General features: G+C 53.4%; 4 protein-coding genes and 1 non-coding gene across 21 annotated transcripts in view, besides 5 other annotated features; 2 read left to right on the forward strand and 3 right to left on the reverse strand.

Annotated features, from left to right (window-relative positions):
- AGPAT1 (1-acylglycerol-3-phosphate O-acyltransferase 1) overlaps positions 1-3938 on the reverse strand; it is a 9897-nt gene extending 5959 nt beyond the window's left edge. The window contains exon 1 of one of the 4 annotated variants that reach the window (NM_032741.5): positions 3831-3938. Coding sequence is in view for 1 of the 4 variants with exons in the window: in NM_001371437.1 (NP_001358366.1) it covers positions 2340-2342 (3 nt within the window). In the remaining 3 variants the exon portion in view is untranslated. Of the gene's footprint in view, positions 1-1643; positions 1915-2339; positions 2951-3063; positions 3177-3830 lie in introns of those variants that run through there. The other 3 variants (NM_001371438.1, NM_001371437.1, NM_006411.4) reach the window with 3 other exon arrangements.
- Positions 3995-4523: an enhancer, noted in NCBI's record as "H3K27ac hESC enhancer chr6:32145942-32146470 (GRCh37/hg19 assembly coordinates)". NCBI's record gives its function as "activates a minimal SCP1, AML or CMV promoter by ChIP-STARR-seq in primed H9 embryonic stem cells {active_cell/tissue: H9 hESC(primed)}" and the evidence as "EXISTENCE:reporter gene assay evidence [ECO:0000049][PMID:30033119]".
- On the forward strand, positions 4235-6623 carry RNF5 (ring finger protein 5). Its single transcript, NM_006913.4, has 6 exons — positions 4235-4481; positions 5371-5389; positions 5481-5593; positions 5707-5761; positions 5839-5956; positions 6059-6623. Exons 1-6 carry the CDS (start codon positions 4342-4344, stop codon positions 6154-6156), a joined length of 543 nt encoding a protein of 180 aa, NP_008844.1. The 5' UTR covers positions 4235-4341; the 3' UTR covers positions 6157-6623.
- MIR6833 (microRNA 6833) lies at positions 5646-5706 on the forward strand. Its single transcript, NR_106891.1, has one exon. It is a non-coding gene; the product is annotated as a microRNA 6833 (primary transcript).
- AGER (advanced glycosylation end-product specific receptor) lies at positions 6799-10083 on the reverse strand. 13 transcript variants are annotated; one of them, NM_001206932.2, is made up of 11 exons: positions 10001-10083; positions 9711-9817; positions 9385-9538; positions 9154-9218; positions 8944-9031; positions 8671-8853; positions 8398-8528; positions 8077-8218; positions 7436-7462; positions 7181-7307; positions 6799-7069 (listed from the first exon to the last, which is right to left on the reverse strand). In NM_001206932.2, exons 1-11 carry the CDS (start codon positions 10050-10052, stop codon positions 6973-6975), a joined length of 1173 nt encoding a protein of 390 aa, NP_001193861.1. In that variant the 5' UTR covers positions 10053-10083; the 3' UTR covers positions 6799-6972. The 13 variants fall into 13 exon arrangements, 12 of the variants coding, with proteins under 12 accessions (NP_001193861.1, NP_001127.1, NP_001193858.1 ...); NM_001136.5 differs by having other exon boundaries at positions 9385-9580; NM_001206929.2 differs by having other exon boundaries at positions 9106-9218; positions 9385-9580.
- Positions 8158-8676: an enhancer, noted in NCBI's record as "H3K27ac-H3K4me1 hESC enhancer chr6:32150105-32150623 (GRCh37/hg19 assembly coordinates)". NCBI's record gives its function as "activates a minimal SCP1, AML or CMV promoter by ChIP-STARR-seq in naive H9 embryonic stem cells {active_cell/tissue: H9 hESC(naive)}" and the evidence as "EXISTENCE:reporter gene assay evidence [ECO:0000049][PMID:30033119]".
- Positions 8677-9194: an enhancer, noted in NCBI's record as "H3K27ac-H3K4me1 hESC enhancer chr6:32150624-32151141 (GRCh37/hg19 assembly coordinates)". NCBI's record gives its function as "activates a minimal SCP1, AML or CMV promoter by ChIP-STARR-seq in naive H9 embryonic stem cells {active_cell/tissue: H9 hESC(naive)}" and the evidence as "EXISTENCE:reporter gene assay evidence [ECO:0000049][PMID:30033119]".
- On the reverse strand, positions 10563-16032 carry PBX2 (PBX homeobox 2). 2 transcript variants are annotated; one of them, NM_002586.5, is made up of 9 exons: positions 15525-16032; positions 14553-14626; positions 14087-14334; positions 13796-13986; positions 13477-13612; positions 13072-13225; positions 12643-12731; positions 12434-12520; positions 10563-12304 (listed from the first exon to the last, which is right to left on the reverse strand). In NM_002586.5, exons 1-9 carry the CDS (start codon positions 15743-15745, stop codon positions 12212-12214), a joined length of 1293 nt encoding a protein of 430 aa, NP_002577.2. In that variant the 5' UTR covers positions 15746-16032; the 3' UTR covers positions 10563-12211. The 2 variants fall into 2 exon arrangements, with proteins under 2 accessions (NP_002577.2, XP_047274795.1); XM_047418839.1 differs by lacking the exon at positions 14553-14626.
- Positions 14110-14666: an enhancer, noted in NCBI's record as "H3K4me1 hESC enhancer chr6:32156057-32156613 (GRCh37/hg19 assembly coordinates)". NCBI's record gives its function as "activates a minimal SCP1, AML or CMV promoter by ChIP-STARR-seq in naive H9 embryonic stem cells {active_cell/tissue: H9 hESC(naive)}" and the evidence as "EXISTENCE:reporter gene assay evidence [ECO:0000049][PMID:30033119]".
- Positions 15819-16387: an enhancer, noted in NCBI's record as "H3K27ac-H3K4me1 hESC enhancer chr6:32157766-32158334 (GRCh37/hg19 assembly coordinates)". NCBI's record gives its function as "activates a minimal SCP1, AML or CMV promoter by ChIP-STARR-seq in naive H9 embryonic stem cells {active_cell/tissue: H9 hESC(naive)}" and the evidence as "EXISTENCE:reporter gene assay evidence [ECO:0000049][PMID:30033119]".

Raw genomic sequence — 16456 nt, forward strand, 5'->3', positions numbered from 1 at the left:
CAGGACAATAGGAGATGGAGTAGGTGCTCAATAAACACTTGCTGAACAGATTCTAAGGCTGTATACCCACCCATAGAGCCACAGTTAATGACAGAGATGGCGGTTCTGATCACAAATTAGATAGTTATCCTCTTGAGTAGAAGTGACTACTAAAAGAAGTCACTGAGAAAGTAACGAACACACCAAGCCTAATGGTAACCGACTCTGAATAGATACATGCAATACATAGCCATAATGAAGGCAGAGTAACAATAATCAGGAAGAGGTCATCTCACAAGAGAAATGTACCGAATGGGATCAAGATGCCACAGGGAAAGATGCTGCTCTCATCAAATGTGTGCCAACAGTGCAAAGAATGGAGGATAATGTCCATAAATAAATACCAACAATGGGGTTCACAGCAGGATTGACCCTGTGACATGCATTGAGCTCATGGACACAGACTGTACACAGCCACTGGAAAGATAATGTTTGTGTAGAGAGGTATGGGCCAGGGAGGTCACCAAGGTAAGGCATGCAGGGATGGTTCTTTGCAGACCTGGAGACCCAGTTACCTTCTTCTCTTAACACTTGATATTAAGTGACCCTCTTTGGAGAACAAAAGTCCAAGGATTTAGAAATGCAATGGAGGGCCAAATTTAATGAGCATACGGCTCACAAAATATACTGATGACAAATTTATAACACACATTCTATGGTCCTGTTACATCAGTGTATCATGCAAAGGCGCATACACATGTGTTCTGTGAACTGTGACTGGGAAAACACAGCAAACAGGCCAATTCAGTCAGACATCAGAGTGTGGGGTATTCAGCCAAGCCATGGGATCCCACACATGAAGACTACTGCAAATGGTAGGACCATGGACATGTCAGCCAAAGCAAAATAAGGTATATAACCTTCACATGCTGAAATAAACATGCCAAAACATAAAATGTGCAAGTAACATGAAATTATAGAACAGGTGCAATATATGAAAACTCACACACATGCGGTACTTAAAACATGTCAAAACTGGATGTGAGACATGGACACAAGAATGAAGAATGGGCAATTCTGATAGAAAATAACACACCATTTCTACACAGCCTATGGATAGCATTGGGACAACCTAGTTGCACACAAGCCATTAAACATGTCAAAGGCACACAGACTCAATGTAGAAAACATGGCTCCCATAAGGCATTTGTGTGTCAGTAAGGGTCTAGCAGTGTGGAAGGCCACTGAGAAACAAGAGGTCCTGTGCCTAGATGGAAACAGAGGCACCTAAGGGTATTCCTAAGAGGCAAATTCTGCTGGCCTTCTCCCCTCATGACCCTTCAAGAGTCATGTGGGGTCAAAGGGCAAGAAAAGGAATTGGGGAAGGTGTAGGGAATTCCCTCTCCAGGATTCCCTGTGCACGCTCCCAGTCCCAAATTCACAAGGGTTTCCATTTCTCCTCCCTCCCAGGTCTCTTCCATCCTTCCTCCCTCTCAGGTCCCCTCTCCTATCCCCAGCAACCCTCTTCCCAGTCGGCCCCTCTCCTTTCCCCAGCAACCCTCTCCCCCAGTCGGCCCTCCCAGACCCAATCTCTCCCCTTCCCCTCATCCTAGTCGCTTTCAGCACCCTCTTCCCTCCTCCTCCCATCCCTTTCCCGCCCACACCTCAGAGGGGTAGGGGGCCTGGGGGGCTGGCCCCCTCCCCAGCCAGGCTGCGGCAGCGGTGGTGGCGGATGGCTGTGTCTCTGTCTCTGTCGGGGTGTCGGTGCCAAGGGGGCGACGGGATTTGGGGGTGTCCTAGCCCCGGCCGATGGAGGGGAGGTGGGAGTGGGAGGTTGGGCCCATAGCGGTAGGAATGGTGGGGGGCTGTCCCCCCAGCACCCTCCCTCCCTCCCTTTCTGCTGTCTCTCTGAGGGCTGGGGCTGCTGCCGCCGCTATTCCCCCGCCACCCCTCCCCAACGCCTGCTGGTTTCCGGGGCCGGCCAGGAAGTGGAGGGCGGTGATGGGCAGCCTGTTTTGCCAATCGTCTCCCAGAAACTCTGGCATCTCCTCCCCACATCTACCAGTGTCCTCTTGCGAGCCCCGCCCCAGGGCTCTCCCTCGGTCTTTGCCCCCATCTCTGGCTCCAGCTGCATCTTTTTTTTCTCTAACTCCCTTTCAGCTCTGGATCCCCTGGTGCTGTATTCCTCCTTCCGCACATTCCTTCCTTTATTCTCCATCAGCTCTCTTTTAACTGCCACTTTTACTTGGTCTCTTTTTTTCTCAACTCCGGTTATCTGCTGCTTATTCCCCCCAACTATTCTTAAGGACCCCTTTTCCCGTACCCATTCAATTCTAAACATTTATCAAGCATCTACCTACCATATGACAAGCATTAAGTTCACCTCTCTTCTTTTTCTCTCCAGGACTCCATCTCACTCCATCTCACTCTCCAGTCCTCTGGTCTGGTTTCCTTTGCCCTTTGTCCCTCACTATCTCCCAGCAGTCCAGCTCCCCCCTCCACCTGCCTTCTCTGGCCTTTAAAGAGAAGAGATCTCTTTGGCCTTATCCCTGACCCTTTCCTTTTCCATGCTCTTTTACCTCTGTACCTTTTCTTTCCTACTTCCTTCGTATCAGTCTCCTTACTTGCCCAAGCTGAGACAACCCCTTCTCACAACATACAATATGGGTACATCTTTTCTTCCAATGGAAATTTGGCTTCAGGGGTGCTTTCTAGAAAAATAAAAAGTGAGGAAGAATGCCGATTCCTCTGGAATGCGCGTGCCTCCTTAATTTGGTAGCCATGTATCTAGTTTTCCACCCCCTCTTCTCTTCCTCCACTCCCATTATCCCTTTACTAGGATCATTCCATCACTTCACTCTCCTTCATTTCCACCTTTCCCTCTCAATATCTTCCTTCCTAAACCTCAAGCTTCCTGAATCCTCATCTGCCCCAGTCCTTCTTTACGCAACTGCTAACTTCTCATCTTTCCTTACTCTTGAGTCACATGGGATCTTTTATCAAGGTCCCCCCTCTAGCCACACCTTTACCCTGCATTAGTTTACATGCCCTCGGGAAGAGGATTGGTAGTGGGAGGACTGTTACCTAATTCTGCTCCTTTAGTCACAGTGAGGGTCAGTGATTGTAGGAAAAGCCCAAACTCCCCGGGGTCCAACCTGGGAAGAAGACCCTATTTCTGATGGGCAAATTATAAAGAGGAAAGGGCGGGTCTAGCCTCCGCGGGTCTCCTTAAAAGGGGCGGGCTTTGTCCCTTTTGCACCACTCACAAAGGGGTTGAGCCCAGAGCTTTCCTGCTCTGAAGGTTTAAAACGGAGTTGAAGTCAATCCTGTTCTACTCTGTGTACAACATTAAGAAAGGGGTGGGCCTTTAGTTCAGTTTTGCTCTGTAAATCACCTAATATGGGGAGGGCTGAGTCGTCCAGCCGAATGAGTTGGGTTAACACCAGCGCCGCAGATCGATGTTCCCACTATCCAAACGTCGGGCTAATCCCAGTTCTGCTCCCTTAACTAAAAGGGAGGGGCAGACCCAAGTTCTGCTCTCTACGTCACCAAAGGAGGTTGGAGCCATTTTGAACCCTGCGACCCTAGTGTTTTCCCTCTTTTCCTAGCTCTTCGCCGTCTTTCCCGATGTCGGCCAATCAGGGGAAAAGGAAAAGGCCCAATCAGCAGAAAGTCCACAGCTGAAGGACCCGGATGAAGCGAGCCTAGGACTTTGAAGTGCAAGCCTCGCCAATTGTAGAGCAGTCACCATGGCGACAAGATAGGGGTGAAGAGGTGGAAAAAGAGAAGGTTAAACCCTCACAGGATTGGCCCACCCCCGTCCCGCCGCGTGCTGCGCAGGCGCGTTTTACCTAACCACCATTTTCCGTCAAGTTTTAGCCAATGAGTTGATTTGGAGCCATACGCTCCAAAGTCCAATAGCAATCCGGACATTCTCTAAAAGAGGAAGCGAAGGAAAGAAAGGGGCTTATAGTGGGCGAGGTCTATAGGTAGTCCCGAGCAAATTGCTTATGGCTTTGGTTATGACTGACAACTACTCAGACGAATAAAGCCCTCCTTGGCCAGGCGACAGCGTGTAGCGAGTTATTACCAATCCCTTGGCATTGCACATTGACTTAGACCGTATCAGCCAATAGCCATTGTGCGAAGGCAGGACTGCACTAACCTTTTCCCGCCCCTACCCTTTGGGCCAATCCTTTCTTTTGAATTCTTTGTGACTGGCAGGCATTCAGACCAATAGTGATTAGGAAACCTTGAAGCCTGCCCAACGATCGTGGGCAGGAGGTGGTTTCTGGTTTGTTGGGGCGTGTGTATGTGTATTTGGGGGGACTGAAGGGTACGTGGGGCGAAACAAAACCGGCCATGGCAGCAGCGGAGGAGGAGGACGGGGGCCCCGAAGGGCCAAATCGCGAGCGGGGCGGGGCGGGCGCGACCTTCGAATGTAATATATGTTTGGAGACTGCTCGGGAAGCTGTGGTCAGTGTGTGTGGCCACCTGTACTGGTGAGAATCGAGGAGGGGGGCGGGAGGTGGTGGGTCTCGCTTATATACTGGAGAGGCTAGGAGCGAATAATCATACAGTCATACAGATAATCGGAGGGCACGTTCCCATAGGTGAAGCCCGACAGGAGACATAAGACTTTGCTGGTATGTGTGGGTGGGAGTATAACGGTCGAGATCTGTGGAAAGAAAGGTCTTAGGAACCAGGAGCTGAGGCACGTGATGTGCTGAGAAGAGAAGGTGGGGCGGGGAGTGGCAGGACAATGTGAGACCCGAGCCACCTTACCCCAGAGAAGTGAGGGGTCTTAGCTGTGCAGGTGGAAACAAGTGAGACACAAAGGTTAAGGGAGGCACGCATCAGTTGAGTCGGGGAGAACCAGGAAATATGGATCACATTCAGATGAGATCTGGGAGGGGGCTGGTATAAGGGCACTGTGGAGAGGCAGACTTGAAAGGTTAAAGGGTCATAAAGATAGGGACATTATTGAGCTTGAAAGTGAGTAATGGGGGAATGTGCTAGTAAAGGGGTTTGGTTTGGAGTGATGGGGTTGGGGTTGAAAAGAGGAGACCCAGAAAGAGGTGGCTGAAGGAAATTAGAAATTAACTTGAAAGGCAGAAAAGAGAGGGCACGAAAATTTGTATGTGTTTGTTGGGGAGAGGAGAAAGGAGAGGGTTGAGTGTGTTGAGGATGGACAGAGCTTTAGGTGTTGGAAGATCAGACAAGCAGGAAGGCTAACTAAGTTGGCTGGCATGGTAGAGGTTGCAGAAAATCTGAAAAGCAACAGCAGGTTGCTTGGGAAGAGGGGTTAGATGGGATTCTGCGAAGTCTAGGGTCTGTGTCTCTCTTTTCTGTAGCTAGTTTGACCTTTTTTTTTTTTTCTCCCCCATCCAGTTGGCCATGTCTTCATCAGGTGCGTACTCAGGAGATGAAGAGGGAAATGGGGAGGTCTGAGGAGCTGTAAGACCCTCTTGTATACTGGAAACCACCTTTTTTCTCCCCAGTGGCTGGAGACACGGCCAGAACGGCAAGAGTGTCCAGTATGTAAAGCTGGGATCAGCAGAGAGAAGGTTGTCCCGCTTTATGGGCGAGGGAGCCAGAAGCCCCAGGATCCCAGGTGAGAGACTGGAGGTGTTGCTTAGGGAAGATTGAAGGCTTCTGCCCTTGGAAAACGGTGTGGAAGATGGGAGGAGAAAAATCCCTGTTAACTTTCTCTCTCCACTTCCTCAGATTAAAAACTCCACCCCGCCCCCAGGGCCAGAGACCAGCTCCGGAGAGCAGAGGGGTGAGTCTTCTTGTCCAGTTGTGTCCCTTCCTTGACAGATTTGCCGGCTTCCTGTCTGACTTTTTCTGCCTCCCTAGGGATTCCAGCCATTTGGTGATACCGGGGGCTTCCACTTCTCATTTGGTGTTGGTGCTTTTCCCTTTGGCTTTTTCACCACCGTCTTCAATGCCCATGAGCCTTTCCGCCGGGGTACAGGTAAGAGTCACACTCAGCTCCCATCAGGGAGCCCTGTGAATCCCCTCAGGCCCCCTCCCAGCCTAGGAGCATATGCTTCCACAGCTTTCCTCTCTCCCACAGGTGTGGATCTGGGACAGGGTCACCCAGCCTCCAGCTGGCAGGATTCCCTCTTCCTGTTTCTCGCCATCTTCTTCTTTTTTTGGCTGCTCAGTATTTGAGCTATGTCTGCTTCCTGCCCACCTCCAGCCAGAGAAGAATCAGTATTGAGGGTCCCTGCTGACCCTTCCGTACTCCTGGACCCCCTTGACCCCTCTATTTCTGTTGGCTAAGGCCAGCCCTGGACATTGTCCAGGAAGGCCTGGGGAGGAGGAGTGAAGTCTGTGCATAGATGGGAGAGCCTTCTGCTCAGAGGCTCACTCAGTAACGTTGTTTAATTCTCTGCCCTGGGGAAGGAGGATGGATTGAGAGAATGTCTTTCTCCTCTCCTAAGTCTTTGCTTTCCCTGATTTCTTGATTTGATCTTCAAAGGTGGGCAAAGTTCCCTCTGACTCTTCCCCCACTCCCCATCTTACTGATTTAATTTAATTTTTCACTCCCCAGAGTCTAATATGGATTCTGACTCTTAAGTGCTTCCGCCCCCTCACTACCTCCTTTAATACAAATTCAATAAAAAAGGTGAAATATATTGATGGGATCTCTTCCCAAGTTCGCCCCCACCCCCGACAGAAGCATCTTCTCCCCAACTTGAGTAGATGTTTGGTATAGTATGGTGAAGTATGGGGGTGAGTCCCTTTCCTTCAGGGCCCTCAAGGGTATAGGGGTGAGGTTGTGTCTCATACACACACACAGACACACAAGAGCAAGATGTGTCAGGTGTTTAATCATCATTGTGGGGGGCTCTGGTTGTAGAAGAAAGCTTGGCAAGGTGGGGTTATACAGGAGAGAGATTATACAGGAGAGAGTTGGTCTGAGGCCAGAACAGTTCAAGGGAAAAAGAAAAGGGAGCTGATGGATGGGATCTGTCTGTGGGCCCCTCAAGGCCCTCCAGTACTACTCTCGCCTGCCTCAGGTTCCTCCGACTGATTCAGTTCTGCACGCTCCTCCTCTTCCTCCTGGTTTTCTGGGGCCTTCCTGAGGAGAAAGATTGGGGGGAATGCGGCACGTTGTCGTTCCACCCCCCGACCCCTCTTCGCTTGCTGCCTGGAAGCCCTAGGTCTGAGGGGTCTGGCTTTCTCCACTCACCTCTCCTCTCCTCGGCGTTGCCGCCTTTGCCACAAGATGACCCCAATGAGCAGGGCGGCTGTCCCCAGGCCTCCCAGGATCCCCAGGGCCAGGGCTAGAGTTCCCAGCCCTGATCCTCCCACAGAGCCTGTACGGAGACAGGGAAAATTGAGAGCACAGCCACCACCACTCACCATTCCTTTCTTGTTGACCATCCCCCCAGTCACATGTGTTGGGGGCTATCTTCTGCTTCCCTGACTTTATCAAACCCCTCACCTGCAGTTGGCCCCTCCTCGCCTGGTTCTGGAAGACAAAGTTGGATCCAGTCAGAAAGGAAGACTTCGGGTTGAGAGAGGGTTATTTAGTGGGAGCCCCAGTGGAGTCTTTCCCTTTCTTTTTTTTTTTGAGATGGAGTTTCACTTTTGTTGCCCAGGCTGGCATGCAATGGTGCGATCTTGGCTCATCGCAATCTATGCCTCCTGGGTTCAAGCAATTCTCCTGCCTCAGCCTCTCAAGTAGCTGGCCTCCCAGGTAGCTGGGATTACAGGCATGTGCCACCATGCCTGGCTAATTTTGTATTTTTAGTAGAAATGGGGTTTCTCCATGTTGGTCAGGCTGGTCTCGAACTCCCTACCTCAGGTGATCTGCCCGCCTCAGCCTCCCAAAGTGTTGGGATTACAGGCGTGAGCCACCGCGCCCAGCCGTCTGTTCCTTTTTTTAGCTCAGAGGGAAGAAGGGAGAGGCTTGGCTGCTCTCTTGGCAGAATTTGGGTGGGGCAGGGGAGGCTTGGGTGTGGGTGCATGGAGGGAGAGGTGGGGTGGCTGTTAGGGATAAGGCCAGAATGGGGCAGGAAATTAGAGCCTGTGCTGTCCTGCACCCTAGTCCCAGGGTCTGTAGGGCTTGGGGAGAGGTCTCACCGATGATGCTGATGCTGACAGCACGGCTTTCCTGGGGCCCGTGGCTGGAATGGGTGGCCACACAGCTGTAGGTTCCCTGGTCCTGAGGCCCTATCTCAGGGAGGATCAGCACAGGGCTGGGGGGAAGGGGCAAGGGCACACCCTGGTGGGGGAAGGGGAGAGGAGACTATTTCAAAACCCTTGTCTTTTTGTCTCCATATCTTCAGATACCCTCTCTTCCTCCTCAGCTCCTAGCCTGCCTTTCCCTCGTTAGCCCTCTGCCCTCCCTGTTGCTAGTTATGGTTCACCCTACCTCCCAGCCCCTCTCTCCAGGTCACTCACATCCTTCATCCAGTGGATTTGAGGAGAGGGCTGGGCAGGGACTTCACAGGTCAGGGTTACGGTTCCACCAGGAGCTACTGCTCCACCTTCTGGCTCCACCACCAATTGGACCTCCTCCAGAGGCACAGGCTCTGGGAGTTGGAAGGGTTTTGAGGTGGAGAGTTACACTTGTGAGTGATCCCAGTGGCCATGGGCTTGACTCCCTCTTTCCCTAAGGGTCAGACTTCCAGAACGTGCTCACGTGAGCTTGGGGCCCTCCCCACCTATGCTCACCCCAGACACGGGGCTGGATGGGGGCTGTGCGCAAGGCCCGGTGTCGGGGAAGGCCTGGGCTGAAGCTACAGGAGAAGGTGGGACGGGGATCTCCTCCCCGGGCTGGGGTCACCATTAGCTCCGACTGCAGTGTGAAGAGCCCTGTCTCAGGGTGTCTCCTGGTCTGTTCCTTCACAGATACTCCTATGATGGGAGGATAAGACAAATTATCCCAGGGTGGGTGTGGGAGTGAGATCAGGGAGAAGGCAGCTTGGGGGGCACCTTAGGACTCACCCTTCTCATTAGGCACCAGGGGCTTCCCATCCAAGTGCCAGCTAAGAGTCCCTGCAGGGTAGCTTCCCTCTGACACACATGTCCCCACCTGGGGAAAGAGTGGTGACCTCAGAATCCTTTGAAAATGAGAGATGCCACACACCCACACCCACACACACTCGCCTCCTGTTCACAGGGCCGTTTTCTACTTCTCCTGCTTTCTTCCACTACCTTATTGGGAACACCAGCCGTGAGTTCAGAGGCAGAATCTACAATTTCTGGCTTCCCAGGAATCTCTGAAGGAGGAAAAATCCAGTCAGAGGCTGTAATTGTGAAGGTTCTCAAACTCTGTGTGTGGAAATGAGGCCAGTGGAAGTCAGAGGCCCTCATGGGCCAAGGCTGGGGTTGAAGGCTTTTTCTTAGGTAAGAGGGAGGCCTTGGAGAAGACCCTGGAATTCTTACGGTAGACACGGACTCGGTAGTTGGACTTGGTCTCCTTTCCATTCCTGTTCATTGCCTGGCACCGGAAAATCCCCTCATCCTGGATCCCGACAGCCGGAAGGAAGAGGGAGCCGTTGGGAAGGACACGAGCCACACTGTCCCAGGGGCCTCCTCCCTGGGGAGACAGGACCTTCCAAGCTTCTGTCCGGCCTGTGTTCTAGAAGCAGAGAAGCAGGGCCTAAACAGTGCAAGGCCTTTGGGAAAGGACTGTGAGGCAGAGTGACGGGGATCCAAATCATTGCTGGTCTCCCTGGAAGTTGGGAGGCTGCAACAGGAGCCCCGCTTACCAGTTTCCATTCCAGCCGCTGGGGTGGTTTCTTGGGGGCCCCCTTACACTTCAGCACCAGTGGCTCGCCAATCCGGGCTGTGATGTTTTGAGCACCTACTACTGCCCCTGGGAGATAGCACCATGGTAGAGGGGTAGGAAGGGAATGAGGGCTAACAAAATTTGGACAGGGTGGGTGAGGGACCTTGAAAGGCACTTCCTCGGGTTCTGGGAAAAGTTCTAGGACGACTGGGGTGTGGGGTTAAAGTGCTTTCTGCAGGGAGGGTCAGTGGGGTTGAGGGAGTGGCTCACCCCACAGACTGAGGACCAGCACCCAGGCTCCAACTGCTGTTCCGGCAGCCATCCTGCTTCCTTCCAGGGTCCTGGCTCTGTCTGCCCCTCTCCCTGCTGTGGCCTCCGCCCTAGGTGGGGCCTGCACCCTCTCTCCAGCCCCCATCTTTCAGTCGTCTTGTCACAGGGAATGCTAGGAATTCATGCCTTTGGGACAAGAGTCCTTCAGGTACTAGAGAAATAATTATCACCCCACCCCTGGGTACTACCAGCCTCTGGGTACAGTCACTTCCCTGGGGGATGGGGAGTGTACCCTCTAGGGTCTCATTCCCTCAGAGCCCCCGATCCTATTTATTCCATCAGTCCATCAGGGCTGCCTGGTGACCCACTGGAGCCCCATCTTGATTGCGCAAAGTTGCATCAATAGGGTTCAGGCCAGACTGTTGTCTGCAAGGGTGCAATTGGGCCTGCATCATGAAGGCAAGGCTGGGGAACAGGAGAGAAACCTGTTTGGAACTTCGTGAAAGAAAATCATTTTTTTTCTGGGGTTTCTCATGTTTTTTGAAAAAAATTCTCAACTAAACCCAGGGAAAAAAGAAATTTCTTTATTTAAAACTGCATTTTGTTTTTTTTCTGTGAAACTACACAAGTTTACAAGTGAGGAGAGAACTGCCCCCGGCCCATGCCTCCCACCCCCCCACCCATCACACTTCCAACCTGTCCCCAGTCCTGCCCGGATCTTTAATGGGAGGGGTTCCCCACTCTGACAGTCTTGTAAAATCCTGAGAATGTCTGAGGGGATCAGATGGTAGCTAGTTCAGGGCTGAGGATGGGACAGTGTTGATGTTACTTTTCCCCCACATCTGGCTTTTTGCAACCTCCTCCCTCTCCCTACCCCTTGATTTTGGTGTGACAAAAAGATACCTCATTTATGGGGAAATTGAGGAAGATACATATACAAGCACCCCAACCCATATTTAACATATTTGGCAATAACTCCCTTCCCATTCTTCCCCCTCCAATTTTCAAATAGTAGTTTTTTAAAAAATTAAAGACATGTCACTCACAGGGGAAGATGGCATCTTCAATTTCCTCAAAATTACTGAGTCCAGCCCTGCCCAAGGGTTGTGGGAAGAAGGGGGATGAGAGGCCAGCAGGGCAAGCCCTTCACTGCCTCCACATCAAATGCGGCAGAAACCTGCCTGCATGAACAAAGAACACCTAAGGGATTTTAGGGGGCAAAGCTTGGTGCCCTGTAAAATTTACTTCCTGATGGACAGGCCTGGAGCCAGGGGGGCCTCTTTACCAGTTCTGTTTGTCCCCCTTTCTCTTACCAGAACCCCTTTGGCTATCACCCCTAATATGGGAAAGTAAGAAATAAAAAAAAAAAAAGACAAGAAATCAACATATTTATAAAAAAAAAAACAAGCTACTTCCCCAAACTAAATTAAAAATTAAGAACCACCACCACCACCACCACCAACAACAACAAAAACAACAACAACAACAAAAAAAACAGATGGATCCCAGGGTTTCTTTTTCTTTCTTTAAAAAAAAAAAAGTTCAACCCCAAAGCCCAGTCAATAATTCCCTAAAGTAGCAGAAACTCCCTCCGAGGTAGATATCTGAGTCAGACACTCTCGTCCACCGAGCGATTCTATTGGTTTAAGATGAGCTGCGTATGAGGTAAGTAAGCCGTCCGGAGGGGCGGGGGTGGGGATGCATGGGGGCGTGGCCCATGTCCTCTGTCCAGAAGTCATGTCCCCATTTTTGGCATCTCTGATTGGGCAGGGCTGGCGTCTCCACAGATTCCAGAGCATACAAGTGGGGTGGGGAAGGGAAAGTGGGGGAGCCCAGGAGAGAAACAGAATAGTTGCAAGTGGGAGTATGTGTGTGTGAGGTGTGGGAGAGGGAGAGAGAAAGACAGAGGAGAAAAAGGGGTCTGAGAAATAGGTTTCTCGGTATGTGTATGTTTCTGTGTAAGAAAGAAAGCGAGAGAGGAAAAAGATGGAAAAAAGGGAGAGACAGACCCCACACTCCCCTTAGAGGCCCCATTCTTCCTGCCATGTAATTAGCACCCCCAGCACAGAGAGTCTCGTTAGGGAGGGGATGACCCCATTGGCCCTTCTCTGTCTTGTGCTTCTCCTGTATTGGGGTTTGTCCTCTGGAAGCCTGCGTCCTCTTCAAGTCGCCTTGTGAGAGCCCCCACCCCTGTGACCCTGAGGGGCAAGATCAGTTGGAGGTATCAGAGTGAACACTCCCTGGTCCCTCCGTTGGGGATGTCACTGAAGAGGGGGTCACAGCCTCTTGCCAGCTGCCATTTGCCTGAAAGGAGAGACAGAGTACAGAAAACAGAGAAAGCCCTGGGAACCCTGTGTGGGCACAACATTACTAGGGAAAATGCCCCTCTGTCCTGTGAGAACTGGACAGAGAGGAGCTTCAGGATCCACTCACCCTCATTTCCCGTGGGCTGTACATCTGGCCTCCCCCGAGGTTATCCCCATAGCCCCCTGGCCCCATCGAGTGTCGGAGTGATTCCACCTGCAGGCAGCAGAGGAAGGTATGACAGTGAAGAGAAGCCTCAGAGGAAAGAGGTCTTGTATCCTAAAGTAGAGGAAATGGAGTTGGGGAAAGCCCTATTCGAGAGGAGATGGGCATCTGACCTGGGAAGCAGAATAGGAATCTCCGTTGAGCCCAGGCATCCCCAGAAACATGTCTCCAGATCCTGAGAGATTGAAAGAGCCGCCAGAGCCTTGTGGGGGCAGAGAGGGAAGAGTGTAATAGAGCCCGTGATGGTAGAGGATGAACCACAACTCTCAACTCTTGTGGGGACATGCTACTATACTCCAATTATCCACAAAATAACATTCCAACACACAGAAAGAGCAGGCTGTTCCTTGGCCACCCGTGGGAAGAAAGGCAGAACTAAGATCACTGGAATGGCCTCTGTCCCCTGACATCTCCAGCCTATCTCAGCTCGGTCCCTCTCACCCCAAAAGGCCCCCTCTCTGCTATGATCCTGCCTAGATAGGAAGTGGGAACAAAAGCAGGAAGTGTGCAAAACAGTCAGCCGGGGTGACAGTGGGATCCACCTGCAGAGGAAGGGGGTGTCGGGGAGCTGGTGCGGCTGTGGCCCCCCTGGGTGACTGACACGGCGGTCTTGACAGCATAGATGTTTGCCTCCTCTTGGAACTTTCCGATGTTTTTCTTATAGCGAATCCTCTTGTTGCCAAACCAGTTGGAGACCTGTGGGGCAGAAAGGAGGGTCAGGTAGAAACATTTGCCTCTGAAGTCCTTCACTGAATAAGATGTGAGTGACAGCATTTTTTTTTTTTTTGCTTCCTGGTCTCACTATGCTGTTGCCCAGGCTGGTCTCCAATTCAAGTGATCCTCCCACTTCAGCCTCCCTAGTAGCTGGGATTACAGGAACACACCACTGCACCTAGCTGAGATGCGTGCACTTTGCCTGACAACTCCTCCCGCAACCTCCATAATACCTGAGACACGGTGATGCCACACTTCTTGGCAAGCTCCTCCTTGGCCTCCTCACTAGGATATGGGTTACTCAGGTGGGAGTAGAAATACTCATTTAGGACCTCAGTGGCCTGTTTGCTGAAGTTACGGCGCTTTCGTCTACAGAGGAGGGAGAAGAGCAGTGAGGAGGATGTTGATGTCCTGGCAGGGCTGTCACATGGCATGACCCCAGAGTCACCATTGTCATGGAGTACCATGTTGTGCAGCATGGCAGCTCAGGGTCTTGGAGAGGAATGGGAAGGAGCCCAGTGCTGGGGGCCAGCCTGGGGTCCCTGGGCCCACCTGGCATCCAGGAAACGGGAGCGCAGGATCATCACAGCCTCGCAGGTGCTCTGCTTCAGCTGCATCTGGATGGCGCTGAACTTTCGATGGATGATGCTCACCATGCGTTCCATCTCTTTGGGGGCCACGGGCCTGGTGCGGCTCTGCTCCCTCAGCAGGTTCATGACATGGGTCGTGAACTCATTACATGCCTGTAGTGGGGGCCAGTGGGCTGGTGAGGAGGAGCCCTTTGACCATGGGATTCCCCTGCAAGAGCCCTTCCCTCCACCCACCCAAGCCTCCTCTCCTTACCTGCTCATACTTCTCCAGCTCCGAGTGGTATATGTGACGGATCTGGGCAAGTTTGCTGCGATAGTCCGAGTGTTCGATGGAGTTGTCAGGGGACACACCACCACCAGAGGCTGCAGCGGCTGCAGCTGCTGCTGCTGAGCCGCCCCCTTTCTCGGGCCCAGCCACACCCTCTGCCAGAAGCATGTTGTCCAAGCGCATCAGCTGTGGGTCCACCGGCTCCTCCTCCTGGGAGCTCCGAATGCTGAGGCCTAGCATGCAGGCGAGTGGACTTAGGGACCCAGAGACCCCAATACCCAGTGCTCAGTCCTCCTGGTGCTTCCTGGAGAGCCAAGTTCCCAGGCTTTGGTTCCTTCCCCAGTCCCCCTGACTCCTTACTTTCCTCAGGGCCCCAAGTTGTCACACTCTAGCCCTATAATGAACAGGGTTCTGTTCCCAGAGTTGAGCAATCCGGGGGGGGCCCACATACCAGTTTTCTCCTTGATTTCACACAGGACGCTAAAGAGAGCAGGCTTCATTCGGTGGCAGTTTAGGGCGTGTTTCCTTGGGAGGAGTGGGAGTGGGGAAAGAGAAAAGTTGAGGAGCTAGAGAAACAGAGCAGGGGGCCTGAGAACAAGGAGGGAGGAGGGTCAGTCTGCGGAGGGAGGAAGCGGATTGGGGGTGGAATGAGTTGGGGGTGGAATGAGGAGTTCTTGGGAAAAGATCAGCTCCCAGAGCATGGGGAAGCTCCTCAGCTTCAGGGAGACACAGGGAAGATGCAGGCAGCAGGTTAAAGGCTGCGGGCTTTGGGAGATGGTCTAGAAAGGTAGGAGGAGGAATCTGGGAGTGGATGGAGAAAGGAAAGTGACTTGGTAGGTTTCAGAGGGAGAGAGACAGAGGCTGGGGTTGAGAAGAGTCAGAGTTTGAGGTGGCAGAGTGGGGCTGGGGGTGCCGAGCTAACTGGGGAGATCAGTGTAGGGTGTGTGAAGGGGTCCTGGGGCTGAGCAGGTGGGAGGCTTTGATGCACCTAGTGTCTGGCTGAGCAGTGGAGAGGAGCTTTAGGGGCTCTGGAGAGGGTGTGGAGGTCTCCACATCTGGAGAGAATGAGGGGGCTGGGTGGAGAGTTAGGGGAGAAGATAACGTAGCCCAAGAACAGTTTCTTAGTCTGGGAGCCAGAGGGGGCTCCCGGGGATGGGGCTGTTCCAGGAGACTGCAGGGGTCGGCAAAAGGTTAGGAGTGGGGAGCCGGGCCACCGGGGGTTCCCTCTGTGAAGGTTTCAGGGCCTGGGGGTGAAGGGAGGTTTGAGAGGGATCACTTTTCTATGGGCTCCCAGGAATAAGGAGAGAAGAGAGCTGTTGGATCCTGGAGAGGGCCCTGGAGTTGGGGGGGGCTCCCAGAAGATTCAGAACATGTGAACGGGGTTTGCTGGGTCTGTGTGGGGTCCCGGAGTGGGGGCACTCACTTGGCCTGGGCCTCGTCCAGGCTCTGGTCGGTGATGGTCATTATCTGCTGCAGAATGTCCCCGATGTCTTGCTTCCCTCGGCCTCCCGGGACCCCCCCGCTACCCCCACCGGGGTCTCCGCCACCGGGAGGCTCGCCAGGGCCCCCAGGCTCCCCACTCACCAATCCCAGGCCCCCCCGGCCCCCGCCTGGAGGGGGCGGCCCCAGTAGCCGTTCGTCCATAGCTGGGGGGGGGCCCTGAGGCCCCCTCCCTGCTCCGCCCCTCCCCCCGCCTGGTTACTTCTCCCCCCAAACTCGCTGGGGCCGCTGCTCCCTCCGCCCCAACCCCCGCCCGTCTGCCCCCGGCTCCCGGCTCCCCCGGGGGTTCACCCCGGCACTGAAGGGAGACCTGGGATACCGGCTGGGCCCCCCACAGGAGACCCCGGCCCCCGGCGGCGGAGAAAATGGAGCCGGAGAGAGAGAGGAGGCCCAAGCGGGGGTGTGTGTGAGAGAGAGGGAGGAGGGAGGAGGGAGAAGGGGGGGGAGCGAGGGAGGGAGGCTGGGGGAGGGGAGCCGGAGAGGAAGAGGAGGGGAGAAGAGAGGAGGAACAGGGAGGAGCTGGGGGCGGAGAGAGAGACACAGAAACAGAGGAACTGAGACCTAGTGGAGGAGGGGAGAGGGAAGAGGGGATGAGGGGAGGAGACGGGCCATCTGAAAGATATGGGAAAGCCCCCTGGCTGGACTTCCGCGGCCTAGGAGTGGGGCTGTGTTGGCGGCTGGGGGCGTCTGTCACCTGGGTCCTGAATCAGGGATCTAAGCGATGTGGACTCAGGCCGCTGGAATGCCTGGGTTCACCGGCAGCTCAGTTCATATTTCTTGTTCTAATGACTCCCCTCCCTGTTCTACTTAATTAAAACCGAAGAGGGGGGCTGGGGGAGATAATTAGGGAGGTCT

This window comes from Homo sapiens, chromosome 6 (assembly GCF_000001405.40).
Source record: "Homo sapiens chromosome 6, GRCh38.p14 Primary Assembly".
In the NCBI taxonomy this organism is placed as follows: Eukaryota; Metazoa; Chordata; class Mammalia; order Primates; family Hominidae; genus Homo; species Homo sapiens.